The sequence below is a fragment of the Homo sapiens genome, chromosome 1, assembly GCF_000001405.40.
Source record: "Homo sapiens chromosome 1, GRCh38.p14 Primary Assembly".
NCBI classification, from domain to species: domain Eukaryota; kingdom Metazoa; phylum Chordata; class Mammalia; order Primates; family Hominidae; genus Homo; species Homo sapiens.
Genome location: NC_000001.11, coordinates 223,633,711 through 223,650,027, shown reverse-complemented (window position 1 = coordinate 223,650,027; position 16,317 = coordinate 223,633,711). Strand labels below are relative to the sequence as shown.

General features: G+C 44.4%; 1 protein-coding gene and 1 pseudogene across 3 annotated transcripts in view; both read left to right on the top strand.

Moving 5' to 3' along the window:
• CAPN8 (calpain 8) overlaps positions 1-16,317 on the top strand; it is a 124,086-nt gene that overhangs the window by 15,674 nt on the left and 92,095 nt on the right. The gene's annotated exons all lie outside the window — the stretch shown is intronic.
• On the top strand, positions 5,634-6,074 carry SNRPEP10 (SNRPE pseudogene 10; annotated as a pseudogene).

Here is a 16,317-nt window from a genome sequence, read left to right as displayed (position 1 = left end):
TCCACCTCAGTTTTCACAGCTGTAAAGTGGGGATATAATCAAAGCCAGCTGGTCAGGTGGTTGTGATGGATAGAGAGTTGACACTTGGTTCCTTGTCCTCTAGGAAGTGGGGGCTACCGTGGGTGGAGGGGGATGGTAATAACTCTGGGAGTCCTGACTGTGTGCTCCATGAGACTGTCTTACACATCAATATATCCACGGTGCCTGGTACCTAGCAGGGCTCCATAAATGTTTGTTGCACTTTTGATCTGTTGGTGTAAATCCCTGCCTATCATCGTTATTAAATCATTTGAAAACACAGATAGCCTAAATCCAAGCCTTTTTGTATTTTTCATTTTCCTTTGCCAGTATCACTTTTGGCAATTAAGATGGATCAGGCATTTAGAATAAAAATTCCATCCTGAGGTTGCCTATGTGTCTCTATTTTCAAAAGATTTCAGAATTTCATGCAAACCAGCTTGTCTGCATGTCTGTCCCCAGCTTGCCGACACTGCTGGGTGGGTACATTAAGGGGGTTGGAGGTGCTGACTGATCCTTAACAGTGGAAGGATGTCCTGGAAGCAGGTCATGAAGGAGACTGTCCCTAGCCCCTGCTGGTGGCTGTGGAAAAAGGAACACAGTGCTCACTGCATCCTGGGGACCCCAGCAGGACTCTCAGAGTAAGCCTGTTTCTCACAGGCTCAGCAGTAACTGCTAACTCTACCTGCCATGCAAGCTCCATCCAGTTCTTACCTGAGTGCATCCACAGGCAGGAAACACTAAGGTGTGGTATCATTTGTGCCTATGGTTGTGAAAATGCAACAGGACTTGAATCGTCTCTATGTGTAAATAGTCCCAGAGGCCACATGAGCGATGCTACTGTATAAAAGTAGACCTTGGTCTCTGAAAAATGAAATTTGATGCTTGCTGCTTTCAGGAATGGGGAGCAAGATACTTTCTTCTTTCCTAAATGAGGACCAGAGACTTCCAGAATGTGGAAAGAAATTAGAGTGCTTTTTGAATAACACATGCTACTAGGTTTATCCAAACTTTGAATCTAGTGGGTGGCTTATTTTCCATTGGGAGCAGGATTCATGAGTGAGATGAGCTTTACCTTAAGGGTTTGATAAGTGCTGGGGTTTCTTTCTCTGTCTCCTGCCTTCCCCATCTATTTTTCACTCTGTCTTATACTCCGTGTGTTTGTGCCTGTGTGTGCTTTTCTCTTCTAACCCCCTTTTCTCTATTGACCTGATTTTTCTCTTCACCTCTATGAAATGGATGTCTTTTTCATTTTTGTTGCATTTATTGAGTTTTATATTCTGTATTTCTGTTTTGTAAAGAGAATGACTGGACCTTTTCATATGTCTCTAAAGGCAAACAAGGAACCAACAGCAACAACCTAAATCCAGTTGCCTTCTCTTCTGCATCCTGCACATTGATTTTCCTCTGTGAGTCCACGCTCCCCCATGGAGCGAGGCCTGGGCTCCTGGAACAGGGGCCTGGCATGCACACCGCTAGTCAGTAACTGGGAGTAGTGTCAGCATCTTTAAGATCACTTTCCTGGACACCTTTTGATCTGTAGCATCCTTCAAGGACTGTGGCAAAGTAAATCAATTCACTAGGACTGAGCAGATCCTTTTAATGAGCAGTCAGGGAAGCCTCAGGGAACATAAAGGGCCAAATCTACTCATTGATTATGGAGAGCACAGGGTCAGGCCTCCGAGGTGGGAAAAACTGCAGATGACAGCTCCATGTGGCCCAGGGGGCTTAACCGTGATTCGGGGGAAGTTCACTTTGCTACCCGTGGTGGCTCCTCTACTCCGCGGCGCATCGGCGCATCGTTTCCCTCAATCTTGGGTCCTGGTGCTCATCGCCCTCTGGTTTTGTTCCACTAACACCACTCTCCTTTCTACTCTGAACAAAGGGTCCCCAGGACAACCCCTTCCACTTTAATGAGAGTTTGAGGCCGTGGATTACAGGAGGATTTGCATATTGCGCATTATTTCAGGAGCACGAAAGAATTCTGCTTTGCGTGGAGAGTTCCATGAACCCTCACTAACTTAGCTCCTTTCTGTATGACTGCAGGAGATGAAGTACAGTCATGGAAATCAGGGGTGATTTTCATATCACATGACAGTTGCTACAAATATCCAAAACCCCACGTCTGCTCACTGCCATTTCATAATTATGTTGTCTATCAGGCCCCTCTCCAAATCTTTTGTTCATGACATTAATAGAAAAGCACAGCATTATTATAATTTTTAAAAAACATATTTTGATAACTTTCAGTATAATTGTTTTTTTATGGCCCTATTTTTTGTCTGAAGCATTTGCCAAAGGGGTCCTTCCTGTAAACCAAAAATATGACTGCAGCAGGTGTCGATCAATTCGAGGTTTTATTTTGCTAAGGTTGAGGACACATCTGGGAAAAAGAAACACAAGTCACAGTGGAATCTGTGACCTGTTCTTTTTCCAAAGAGGGTTTTAGGAACTTCAATATTTAAAGAGGAAGAGCAAGCAGGAGGGAAGAAAGAAAGGAGGGTAGGCAATAAGGCAAGTGGTTACATTCCTGTGAGGCTCTGATTAGTGCTCAGTGAATCTACATTTTACATGTGAAAAGAAGTGGGTAGAGGAAAAATCATTTATGCATTTTTCTTGTGCTTAGTAAATCTGCATTTTACATAGGATAAAGCAAGCCTGTGAAATTACAACTATCTGGGAACAAAAGAAAGGTAGTTTTTGGGCGACTCAATTCCCAAGCTTAACTTTTCCTTTAGCATAATGAGTTTGGGGTCCCAAGATTCTACTTTTCTATCACAATGCACAGGAAAGGTTAAGAATCCTGCCTTACAGGAATGCTGGGCTCCTTCCACCAGGGGAGACTTCTTTTTGCCAGAAGATAATTTTGTCAGTGTTCTCCAGTGTCACCTACTCAGAGGTGACCTGACTATTCCTCACTTTGTAAGAAAAGTGCAAAATTGCCAGTGAGCCTGAGTCCCCAGGAAGACACCCCCTGAACCTTATGAGAGGTGGCAGGTGGTGCCAGGCCAGGGGGTGCTCTCTGAGCTCCCGCTTGGCTGAGCTGCCTGAGGTTTGGGTCTGAAGATCAAGTCCTAGAGTGTTGCTGATTCCTATTTAGAGTGTTGCTTGTTAAAATGAATCTGTTCTGCGTTCTAGGCGATAATTATTTTAACACCTTTCACAGACCCCAGTGTTAGGACTTGACTTCACACCTACCAGCTCTGCTCTCTGCCTGTGGCTTCAGTTTTGCAGACATCGTCCCAGGGCCTAAGGACAATTTCTCTATCACAGACTGGCTGTGAGTCTTGGGCTTCTTCAGCTCTCTCTGACTTACGAGGGGTACCCTGCTGTCCCGCCTCAGCCATTAGTTCCAGCACATGTGGATGGTTCTTAAAGGGCATAACTAAAAGAGATCTGAAGACAACGCGGTTGCTCAAGCATCAGTAATGCAATGTCCCAGTCCCCAAGGCTCAAGGGAGCCTATGCATGCTCTCTTGGGGATGTGGTTGAAGAGAAAAAGGTGGAGGCAGGCTGGCGCAGAAGCAGGAAGGGTGAGGTTACAGGCTGTGTTAAGGCCTCTGTCACCTTCAGGGCAGCTCTGGGCATTTACTGGAAGCCCTGGCATCAGCATCTGGGACTGGCTGGGAGATGTACACCCTCAGTTCTTCAGTAGGCTGGCTCCCGCCATCCAAGGAATAGAGCAGGATGATCCCAGAAAAGGCTGGTCCTTCTGGAAGCAAATCCACACCACCTACTCACGAGAGAAAGGACAGGTGATACCCTTCTTCTAAGAGGCCATGAACCTGAGGAATGGAAACAAGTCCCATCTAACAAGTCCTTTGCAGACACTGTTCTTTCTCTAGTGCTTTCTCTTGGCCCTGTGGTTGCTGTGTCACCGCCCTCTTGTTGTCTCAGCTGTTCTTGCTGATTTCTGGCTGGGCAATCCCTCACCAGCTGGCAGAAGTGGATTGGATCTTCCCTGTACAGAGTGCAGTCTATTTTCCCCACAGTGCTCCCCCATAGTCACCTCGTAAAGTTACAGGTGGCATTTCTTGCTGGCTTAGGGAATGGAATGAAGCCACTCCATACCTTGCCCCAAACCTGCTCCTAGAAAGTGGAGCACTTTGGTTTACCCTCTCCCTTTACTTTGCACTTCAGTTTACCCTCTCCCTTCTGCTCCAGGAGGACTCTTTGTGCCTCCCTCAGGGGTCCCATAGGGTAGCTAAGCAGCCCTGGGATGTGTTCCCAGGCTTCATGACCCAGTACCTTGTTACTTTGGTCTGCATTCTTGCTCAACCTTGGTCCCTGATGCTCTGCCACCTGTGGCCCCCAGCCTTGTGCCCTATAGTGGGAGAGAGATCTGGGGATCCTTTCCCAGTTGCATCTGGAGCCCCTTCTGTACATGTGTTCAGGACTCAAAAACTGTTTCTCCATCATTTAACAGGGCAATGCCTGGAGTGGTCCCCCCACCCCCTTCAGACTTGGCTTAGGCTCGTATTTCCTCAAATCCCATTTTCTCTGACTTGTTTTGCGTGTCTGCTTGGGAGCAGTGTCTCCTTTCTCTGCTGGATCTTGGGTATCCAGAGTTGGAGGGCCTGATGGTTAATACCGAGTGTCAACTTGATTGGATTGAAGGATACAAAGTACTGTTCCTGGGTGTGTCTGTGTGGGTGTTGCCAAAGGAGATTAACATTTGAGTCAGTGGGCTGGGAGAGGCAGACCCACCCTCAATCTGGGTGGGCACCATCTAATCAGCTGCCAGCGTGGCCAGGATAAAAGCAGGCTGAGGAATATGGAAGGACTAGACTTGCCGAGTCTTCCGGCCTTCATCTTTCTTCTGCGCTGGATGCTTCCTGCCCTTGAACATCAGACACCAAGTTCTTCAGCTTTTGGACTCTTGGACTTACACCCGTGGTTTGCCAGGGTCTCTCGGGCCTTTGGCCACAGACTGAAGGCTGCGCTGTTGGCTTCCCTGCTTTTGGGGTTTTGGGACTCGGACTGGCTTCCTTGCTCCTCAGCTTGCAGACGGCTTATTGTGGAATTTTACCTTGTGACCGTGTGAATCAATACTCCTTAATAAACTCCCTTTCATATATACATCTCTATTAGTCCTGTCCCTCTAGAGAACCCTGACTAATACAGAGGGATCTAGGGAAGGATTAACTCTGGGGGCCACAACTCTGATGCCTACAGAGGCCACATAAATGAGTAAAGTAGGCCAGGAGGAGGTAACAAGAGAGAGTAGCAGGGACTGTGGCAAACCAGAGAACCTGCCCTGTGTGAGGAGGAAGCCATCACCTAGCTCGAGCTGGATGTTGCCATGCAGGAGCCGGGAGACCTTCCCAGACTGCCTTGCGTTTCCTAGCGCTCCCCTAGAAACTCTCACTCCCCTCACCCTGCTCTGGTTTCTTTACAGGATTTACCACCACCTGTCACATGCGTTTATTTATTGTTTGTCTTTCTCACTAGCATGTATACTCCATAACATCGAGGACTCTGTTTTTCCCCACTGTTGTATCCTTAGGGTCTGGAATACTTGGCACAGAATGAATGCTCAGTAAATATCTGTAGAATAAGTAGAGAGAGAAATTTTGGCCAGATTTTGCAGTTTTTATAAGAAATCAGAAATCTAGGAATTTCCATCATGGTATACCGTGGTCAGGGCCAGAAAGTGCAAAAAGCTATGATGGAGCCCATCAACCTCACCTACAGATTCTTACAAAATAGATCCCAGATTCAGGTATGGCTCTATAAGCAGAGAATATGTGGATAGAAGGCTGTATCATTGGTTTTGATGAGTATATGAACCTTGTATTAGTTGATGCAGAAGAGATTTATTCTAAAACAGAGTTAAAACAACTGGGTTGGATCATGCTAAAAGGAGATAATATTACTCGGGTACATAGTGTCTCCAACTAGAAATGATCAATGAAGTGAGAAATTGTTGAGAAGGATATAGTTTGTTTTTAGGTGTCCTTTGTCCAATACGAACATTTATTCATATTGTTTTGATTACCCTTATGTTATTACAAGATGACAATAAGTACTGTGGGATTGTTTGTATTAAAAAAATTTTTTTTAAAAGGAAATCAGAAGTCTAGATTTTCTAGAAATCATTATGCTGGCCAGTACTGTACGCGCTGGACAGACTAGATCGGCAAGCAGGTTAGGACGGGTTTACCGTCTTCAGTCTACATCAAGCCCCCACCGGGCCTGAATTATGGTGCGGACCCTGGGGACTTTCTGCATGCCAGTCGGCTTTCACCTGTGATGTGCGTTGAGCTTCTGCTAGCTGTCCTCACTTTGGACAAACTGTTTGGAGAAACTCTGTGCTTCTGTAGATGTGCTCCAGGCTTCTGTGCACTCAGTGGCTTCTGATTGAAAGGCTTTCTCTGCAGTTGCCCTGCCCACCAGCCTGGCCAGTGTCCCCTCTACTACTCCCTTTAAGAGTTTTGCTTCCTTTCTATCTCTTTTCACATATTTTTGCTCTTGGGCATTGTACTCAGGATATTTTCCCAGCCTCAAAGTATCTCGTTTTCTGCTCACAACACCCCACTGGGTTCCTTGGCATTTTAACATTTGAGTTCAGTTCACCTCATGTCAGTATATTTGAGCCTGGAAGACCACCCTCATCTTGCTAGGAGATGCCATTATCCTCTGTTGAATATTTGATGCACTTTAAAGATCTATGTATATTTGGAAACCTCAGGATACCTAGCCCGGAGTTGGAACTGCCGGGCCATTTAGGATCATTTTCGGAGGGGACACTTGACAGTGTGTCAGGGCTGTCCCTAGCAATAACGGTGATGTGCCATTTTTGTATCTCATCCCGTGTATTTCAGCCATGGCTGGAGCTAACAATTGCATCTCAGTGCTCATCTTTTCATTTCTTTCCCCATTACACCTGGCTTCTAGCATTTTTGTCTTATTTTTGAAACCAAAGAGCATTATAATTAAACTCAGTAAGCAAGCCGCTTTCCCTTGAAACACGCTCTGAGATGTGTTTACATAAGCCTCAAATATATTTACTCAGTGGGTTTTTCTCCCTCTGGTGAATCAATTCCACTTTTATAATTTACTAAGAAAAATGTTTCCCTCTAAGTAGCATTAAAGGTCTGATTTAAAGCTGGAGGTGAGGCAGAAAGTCCTGAAGCTGTTTCATGCCATTGAGTCTTATTCCTTCCACAATCACAGAAACGAGATGGATGAGAATTGGCCTGGTGGGCTTCAGAAGCAACTAGGAGGAACTCTGAAATAATCTGAACAAGTTTCTTCAGCTGTGAAGAGTTTGCTTGCTTTTTTTTCTTTTTCTTTTTCCTTTTCCTCTCCACTGAAAACTTAGAAGGTAAGGCAAAAATGGCTTCTGATTCAAAGATGACCCGTCAGCCTTTCCTGTTCTTTCCTCTGTTTTGAAGTACATTAACTCTCTGGGGTGCTCTGTAGCTCCTGGAAGCCGAAGACCCCCCTGGCCCAGAATAGTCCTCGGCCAAATGCCAAATGTAGTGATGTGTGATAGCTGCCCCTCCCTGAGGAGCTGCCTCTACGCTGCTATCAGGTCTGAGAGGCCCCTTCTGGGTCGTCATGGGAACCAGGAGTGGAGGTGCCGGGAAACCTATGGGGGGCAGCAGAAGTGGATTAGTGTGCCTTATTATATGTAGCATGACTCCAAAGTGTTATTTTGAGGCTATAAAAATTATAGTTGCCATAAATGAGTCACGTTACCATTGTTCAGAAAAACACCAGTGCTTGGGGCTAATCTTCGAAACTCTTTGTTTCAGAAAAATACCAGACTTGGGGCTAATCTTTGAAACTCTTAGTGACTTTCTTTCTTGGGTGACCCCAATACCCCACCGTCTGCTGAGAACACAGTACCTGGGGCCTTTTGAGTTTTCTGGGTATCTGTCATGCCCTGGATTGATGTTCTCTATAATCTTGCTTCTAGAACACTGGTAGCTTGCCATCATCCACTCTAAAAGGAGGACGATGTTCTAGTAAGGTGTGCCAGGTTCTTAATTTACAAGTACAGTAGGAGGTGGGCCCACGGTGTTGAATGGTGGTGGATTGAAGTACCGTTGGTTGTGGATGCTTACAGGAGTGAGGGAACACGTGGCTTATCTGACATACTCATTTGTCAGAATCAGGAAGAACTTTCACAGCCTATTTACTCATTTAAATATTTATCAAATGTCTTCTTCATGCCAGGAAACAGCGGAGAACAAATAGGCACTCCTTCCTCTTGTGGGAAAGAAGGCGGGGAAGAGGGTTCCAGGCTGCAGGAAGGAGATGAATAAAGGTCCTTTGGCTAGGAAGTGCATAGCACTGGGGCGGGGACTTGCAAAGTAGTGGTAGGACTGGTGCAAACAGGGAACAGTTAGTGCAAAGGCTGAGAGTGGAGAGGGAGGCAGTGGCCAGATCACGCAGGGCTCTGGCACTGTGTGAAGAATTCTGGACTTTATTCCTAAGGGCAATGGGGAATCATGTAAGATTTTAAAGCAGGGCTGCTTATAGCCAGATTTGCTGCAGTGTGGAGAGTGCAGACACCAGGAAGAGACAATTGCAAGATAGGAAACCCTCATTATTTGCAGATAACTGGTATTGGAAAGGGACCACTGAAAGTAAAATGGAGGTCCACATTTCTTAGTAAACAGTTTTTTTTTTTTTAAAAAAAGGCTTGATCAGTATCTTACTTTGAAAGATAATACAAAAAATTATGAAAAAGTTTTCATGTGACTTTGTATTTCATGATACTTATGTAATAGTTGCAGTTTTGCGCTAGCTCTTTGAACAAGGAATGAATCAGTTGTTGACTTTTTGAGGGAGAACTCATGCTGAAAAGATGACAAGACAGCAGGAAGCAACACTTTTTGCTTCCTGCTTGAGTTTTGAGGAAGAATCATGAAAACTTTCAAAGAGTTCATTAGTTTCTCCAAGGCCGTCCTTCAATACTTTGACGCTCAAACCATTCCCTTTTCAAGGACCAGTCCTGCCTTGAACCTCAGCAGTTTTCCTTCCTCAGCTGCAAATGCTTTAGCTCTGCCAACTTCTTCTTGGTCAGTGGTACTGAAGCAGATCTCCAGTATTACTTTCATCAACTTCATGAAATCCATCGAATTGAGCAAAATGTTCAGTGTTACTTTGCAACCACCTTGCATTGTATCTGCATGTGAGGTTGGCATGGTTGGTAGTTTTAATGTTTCTAGTGTTAGGTGGGGAGGGATGGTTGGGTGAAAACTCATGAATATTTCCACATCATGACAATTTTGCTTCTTTTTGCAACCTCCTAATTACTGCTCCTGGATGATGACTATTTGGAGAAAGAGGGTCCTTTATAGTCTTACTGGGAGTGGAGGCGATGGCAGCAATGTTAGGGAGGAGGATGGGATTTGAGAGCTATTTAGGAATAAAATCAAAAGCACTTGGGAAGCAATTCGATATGAATGGAGTGAGGAAAAGGAATCAGAATGGCTTCTGGGCTTCAGCAACTGACAAACTAGTGGCTCTGATGCCTGAGATGGGAAACCTGGACAAGAAGGCAGGTGGTGGGAGTGAGATAGCAGTCCTGAGTCCTATACCAAACAGAGGGGTGGATAGGGAAGGACACCAGCAACTTCCTGGTATCATTTCAGTTTTTGTTTTCCTATAGGCAGTAGACGCTCAATAAACATTTGTTGATTCACTTGTTTGGGTTCCCTGGTGTTTGGGTTAATTGTATGTTGGGGGATAACAGTGAATAATAAGGAGGTTTATTGAGGGCTTTCTATGTGGCAGGCCCTAAGCTAGGCACCTTGCGTATCTTATCTCATTTTTATCTTTATAAGAACTCTTAAGAAGTCAGGCTGTTTTATGTTATTGCAATGTAAGGAGATGCTATCTTATGAGGTAGGTCAGAGGGTGAAAAAATGCTAGCAAGGGGTGGGGAGAGAGGGTGGTTTGTGGCAATTGGAAAGTGAGGATGAAAAGGGGCTGATGAGAAGCTATGTGTAGGTTGACAGGAGGAGGGACTCTTCCCGAAATTTCTTGCTACCTTTGTACAGAGATCTAAGGCATGTATTTCAAATGATGTGAATGTATTTACTTCAGCTTCCACATGGCACTGCAAGATTTAGGAAGGCAGAAAACTCATCATCTTGCTAGAACTAGTCCTGGCTCTGACACTGCCTGGCCTTGGGGGGTCACTTGAACTCAGGGCCTCAGCTTTACTTGTCTGGCAAATGGGCATTAAATAGCCACTTTGTCTTGTGCAAAGCACAGGCAGATTCAAATACAGGAAATGTTAAAGGAAAAACTTTAGACAAAATAAATGTGACAAAGTTTATTTGAGCAAAGAAGGATTCATGATTTGGGCAGCCCTCAAAACCAGAAGAGGTTCAGAGAGCTCCACTGCAGCAGCGTGGGCTTTTAGAGGCTGAATATGGAAGTAAGACAAATACAACACATTTGATTGATTACAGTGGAAAGACTGGTTTTAGAGGTTAGTTTGTGGTTTCTGATCAGTAAAGTTTCTAGTTTCATTTTACTGTTTGCATTGGGCTTTGGCTTGCTTAGGTAAAAACTTACAGTGGTGTAGCTTCCCCAGCCTGATGGCTTCCCGATTAAAATGATTGTAACAGAAGGCACTCTCCTTGTGCAATACACTGATGAGGGTGTGGCTTATGTGATTTCAACTCTTGGAGGGTGAAGGGCTGAGCCTATAGTACATTTTTTTCTCATCTGCATTTTCTAGGAACTTACCCTGTCCAAAAGCCATCTTGTTAATCTACTTTATTTTATTTTATTTTTTTATTTTTTGAGATGGAATCTTGCTCTGTGAACCAGGTTGGAGTGCAGGGGCACTATCTCGGCTCACTGCAACCTCTGCCTCCCAGGTTCAAGCAATTCTCCTGCCTCAGCCTCCCGAGTAGCTGAGATTACAGGTGTGGGCCACCACGTCCAGCTAATTTTTGTATTTTTAATAGAGACAGGGTTCCACCATGTTGGCCAGGCTGGTCTCAAACTCCTGACCTCAGGTGATCCACCCACCTTGGCCTCCCAAAGTGTTGGGATTACAGGCATGAGCCACCTCACCTGGCCAGATTAACCTACTTTAATTCTACATTAGCAGGATTTATTGTGGGCAACTTCCAGATGTGCAAGGTCCATTAGGCTGAGGTACATTTGTAGGTTCAAAGAAGGTGCAGAGAACGAGTGCTTTAAATCTGACTCAGCGCAGGCAGGTGGTAACGGGGTGAATGGATTAGGACAGAGCAGGGCCCCAGCATAGGGACTCATGTTCTAACTGTGTGTGTGGGCTTCTGCCTGACATTATTTCCTTCGGTTCTATGTTGTTTGTTTGAGGGAGAGTAGGGACCACAGAGCCTGGGGTGTCAGCAGAAGCCCCTGCCTACGATTCCCGGAGGCACTGAAGGTCCTCTTTTGTCCTGAATATGGAAAGGCCAGGGAATTGTTCCTTATCAGCAAAGAAGCAGTTGCTTATTGGGAGAGATTATACTCAGGCGGGGAGAGAGAAGCTGGCTTACCCACGGGGGAACATTAAACAAGATACTCCAGAGGCACTCTAAAAATATCATACCTGCTGTTACATATACAGTCATGTGTATCTTTGATATCTTTTATATCCTGATGTCCTCTCTAGCCAACTGGAGACCACATACACACACACACACACACCCCATACAGTCTTCCCTCGGTATCTGTGGGGTACTGGTTCCAGGATCCCCAGGAATACCAAAATCCACAGATGCTCAAGTCCCTGATATGAATGATGTAGTATTTGCAGATAGCCCATGCATATCCTCCCATATACTTTAAATCACCTCTGGATTACTTATAATACTTAATACAGTGTAAATGTTATGTAAATAGTTGTTATATGGTATCATTCAGGGAATCATGATAAGAAAAAAGTCTGTACATGTTCAGTACAGACAAAGCCATCCATTTTTTTCAAATATTTTCAACCTGCAGTTGGTTGAACCCATGGATATGGTACCCATGGATACAGAAGGCCAACTGGAGATATATACAGATATCCCTAAACATTTCGCTTGTTACAAGTAAGTCCTTTTTGCTCAGTATCAGATGATCTTGCACAATAAACTGTGAGGTCCAAACTCATTTTACAGATTAGAAAACTGAGAATCCTAGGAGTCAAGTGATTGCTGCCAGACACTCAGCAGGCAAGTAAGGGTCCAGGGCTTTGAACACAGGATTTCTGAGTTCAAAACCTGTGCTATTTCTACTCTACTAAGTTTGTAGCCTTCTCAAGGGCAGAGATGGTGATCTTTAGGTCTCTCTTGTCCCAGTGTCCTGCAGATGGCCCCGCACATGGTGATGCTTGGCAAGTGCTGGTGAGTGATGATGGCATACAGGAGCTACCCCTTAAGCCGGAAGGGAGAGGAACTCCAGGAGGGTTGGAGGCTGGTGCAAGATGGGGGAGATTTACTAAGTGATTCTAAGAGGACGGGAACTTAAACAGAGGATCCTGCTAGGGTGCTCAGGAGTAGGAACCTGGCTGACTCATTCACTCCCCAGTCCCATGTGCCACCTGGTCAGCCTGCCCAGGTGCTGCTGCTGGATGGTGATGGGAATCAGGGGAGCAGGTGACAGGAGCAAACAGGAGTACTGAGGATGCTAAGAAGTCATGGCAGAGCTGGAGCCAGGCGTTACCAGGGCTGGTAGGCATCTGTGCTCCAGGGCTAGGCTGGGGGAAAGGGCAGAGGTGGAGTGTGGCTACAGATAGTGCTAGGGCTGCAGGATGGGGGCACTGGAGACCCAGTCAAGCTGCTGTCTGCCAGGTTCAGAAAAGTCTAGATTACCTCTGGTCACAGTGGGTTGGCATCTGTATCATTTGGAGGGAATGAAGAATGGTATAATTATATGGCTTGTGGGAGGTCAAAAAGTCAGTCTCTCAAATCCAGGTAGACCTGAGTCTAACCATGATATACGCGAAGTCTTCAGAGAGGTGAGTGTCAGAAGGTCGGGGAGATGAGGCTCTACTTGAGGCATGGGGAACAAACTTGAGAAGCAAGTCAGAGCCTTCCTTTGAATGCCAAAATTTGATTTTAGCCAGAGAAGGCAGAAGTGGGAGAAAAAGGGGGGAAACAGAAAGCGGGTCCCAGAAAGCTTTACTAGTGATAGACTACTCAAGGTCTGAGTTTTCAAATAACCTTTGATACAATTACACTGAGGTGAATTCAGTCAGTAAGAATTTTAGCTTTACTAGTGATCGACTACTCAAGGTCTGAGTTTTCAAATAACCTTTGATACAATTACACTGAGGTGAATTCAGTCAGTAAGAATTTTAGCTTTACTAGTGATTGACTACTCAAGGTCTGAGTTTTCAAATAACCTTTGATACAATTACACTGAGGTGAATTCAGTCAGTAAGAATTTTAGCTTTACTAGTGATTGACTACTCAAGGTCTGAGTTTTCAAATAACCTTTGATACAATTACACTGAGGTGAATTCAGTCAGTAAGAATTTTAGCTTTACTAGTGATTGACTACTCAAGGTCTGAGTTTTCAAATAACCTTTGATACAATTACACTGAGGTGAATTCAGTCAGTAAGAATTTTAGCTTTACTAGTGATTGACTACTCAAGGTCTGAGTTTTCAAATAACCTTTGATACAATTACACTGAGGTGAATTCAGTCAGTAAGAATTTTAGCTTTACTAGTGATTGACTACTCAAGGTCTGAGTTTTCAAATAACCTTTGATACAATTACACTGAGGTGAATTCAGTCAGTAAGAATTTTAGCTTTACTAGTGATTGACTACTCAAGGTCTGAGTTTTCAAATAACCTTTGATGCAATTACACTGAGGTGAATTCAGTCAGTAAGAATTTTAGCTTTACTAGTGATTGACTACTCAAGGTCTGAGTTTTCAAATAACCTTTGATACAATTACACTGAGGTGAATTCAGTCAGTAAGAATTTTAGCTTTACTAGTGATAGACTACTCAAGGTCTGAGTTTTCAAATAACCTTTGATACAATTACACTGAGGTGAATTCAGTCAGTAAGAATTTTAGCTTTACTAGTGATTGACTACTCAAGGTCTGAGTTTTCAAATAACCTTTGATACAATTACACTGAGGTGAATTCAGTCAGTAAGAATTTTAGCTTTACTAGTGATAGACTACTCAAGGTCTGAGTTTTCAAATAACCTTTGATACAATTACACTGAGGTGAATTCAGTCAGTAAGAATTTTAGCTTTACTAGTGATTGACTACTCAAGGTCTGAGTTTTCAAATAACCTTTGATACAATTACACTGAGGTGAATTCAGTCAGTAAGAATTTTAGCTTTACTAGTGATTGACTACTCAAGGTCTGAGTTTTCAAATAACCTTTGATACAATTACACTGAGGTGAATTCAGTCAGTAAGAATTTTAGCTTTACTAGTGATAGACTACTCAAGGTCTGAATTTTCAAATAACCTTTGATACAATTACACTGAGGTGAATTCAGTCAGTAAGAATTTTATGCTGGGGTCTGTGAGAACCACCAGGCCCACTGTCTGCCTCCAGGCAGCTTCCAAGTCTAGCCAGAGAGATGGGAATTGTCAACAAAGCAAATAGAGTCAAAAGTCAATGTGTGGGTCGATTCTGGGCACACTGACTATGAATTAGCCCTGCTCTGCAAGGAGTGGTTAAAAAAAAAATCAGTGTGTGTATGTGTGTGTTTGTGTGTGTGTGTTTTAAGGTAGTCAAAATGGCATGAATCAAACGCCAAGGGCTTCAAAAGGCGTGTTCACCAAGTGGGGGAAGGGAGGCTCTGTGACTGCTTCGTGGTAATGTACAGAGCTGAAATAGCTCCCTGTGTATAAAAACATTTAGAGCAGCCTTCTGTGGAAGAGTAGGCTAAGGATGCCTCAGCTGTGATAAAATATTGAAGACAGATTTTTAAAAAACAAGCATATATTAGCAGGGTCAAAATCTTTACATTATACTCAGATGTGCAATCAGCACAGCATTCATTATTTTGCTCAACTATTCTCAGCTTGCTGAGGAGCCCCAGTTTCCATGGACCATGAGTGGGAGGGAAACATAAACTAGCCGATTAAAGGTATTATGCCTCTGTCTGTTTCAAGTTCTTACCTCTCTTGGATAAATATTGCTTTCAATTACTCTATTTGAGTGGTGCTATACACTGAATGTTTGTATCTGTCCCCGCTCCCGCCATTCATATCTTGCAATCCTAACATCCAATATGATGGTATTAGGAGGTAGGGCCTTTGGGAGGTGATTAGGTCATGAGAACAAAGCCCTCATCAATGGGATTAGTGCCTTTATAAAAGACGCCCTAGAGAGCTCCCTCACCCCTTCTGCCGTTTGAGGACACAACTGGAAGACAGCCATTTATGAACAAGGAAGTGGGCTCTTGCCACATATCAACTCTGCTGGTGCTTTGATCTTGGACTTCCCAGCCTCTAGACTTGTGTTGTTGTTTCTAAGGCATCAAGTGTATGGTATTTTGTTATAGCAGCACGAATGGACTAAAACAGGTGGTTTCTCACTTTGTAAAGTCTGGTTCCTCCCCCACCATCCTAGGATGGCACGTGGGTATAAGGAAGGCCAAACAATGTCCTCCCACCAATGAGAGAAGCCCGCTAGTCCTTACGTACCCTAGTGCTGACTTATGGGTCCTTGCTGGCCTCCTGGAGATGTGACTGGCATGTTGTGGGGTCTCTTCTGATTTCCTCAGGGTCCAGTGGACCTTTCCTGGCTGACTCAGCCCCACCTGAGTGCTCCTTACTGCTGCAGACATGACACATCACAGCCTCCGTTCAGTGCCTGACCCAGAGGTCCACCCCACAACCTCTGCAATAGGATTGAGCTGACTTTTTCCTCCCTGCCCTCAGCTCAATCTTACATAATACCCGAGGGAGACTTGGGGGCACTTCCGTTGTCTCTCATCTTCTGTGTAAGTGCTCCATGATGCCATCTTTACTCTGCTTCTGGATTCCTGAATGGGCAGCAGGGCATACATGTTCCCTGCTTTGGCTTCTGCTTCAAACTACCTGAGGCTTTACTCTTGTTTCCACTTCAGCCATTGTTCAACCTCAAGGTAATGTAGGGGCTACTGTAGGGTTTCTGATGTCTGACCTTTCTTCTTTCCTTCCTCTTTCTTTCTACCTGCAGTCCAGAAGTATCTCCATTTCTTCCCTTGGTGTTTGAGAAATTCCATTAAGCTATAGCTCGAGTTCTTGCTACCTACAGTTTATAATAACATTAGACATCCCGACCTTTAAGCTTTGATTTTAATGTGTAAAGGGAATTTTTGAATTAAGGGATTCTTTTTTAACAATGTCTGA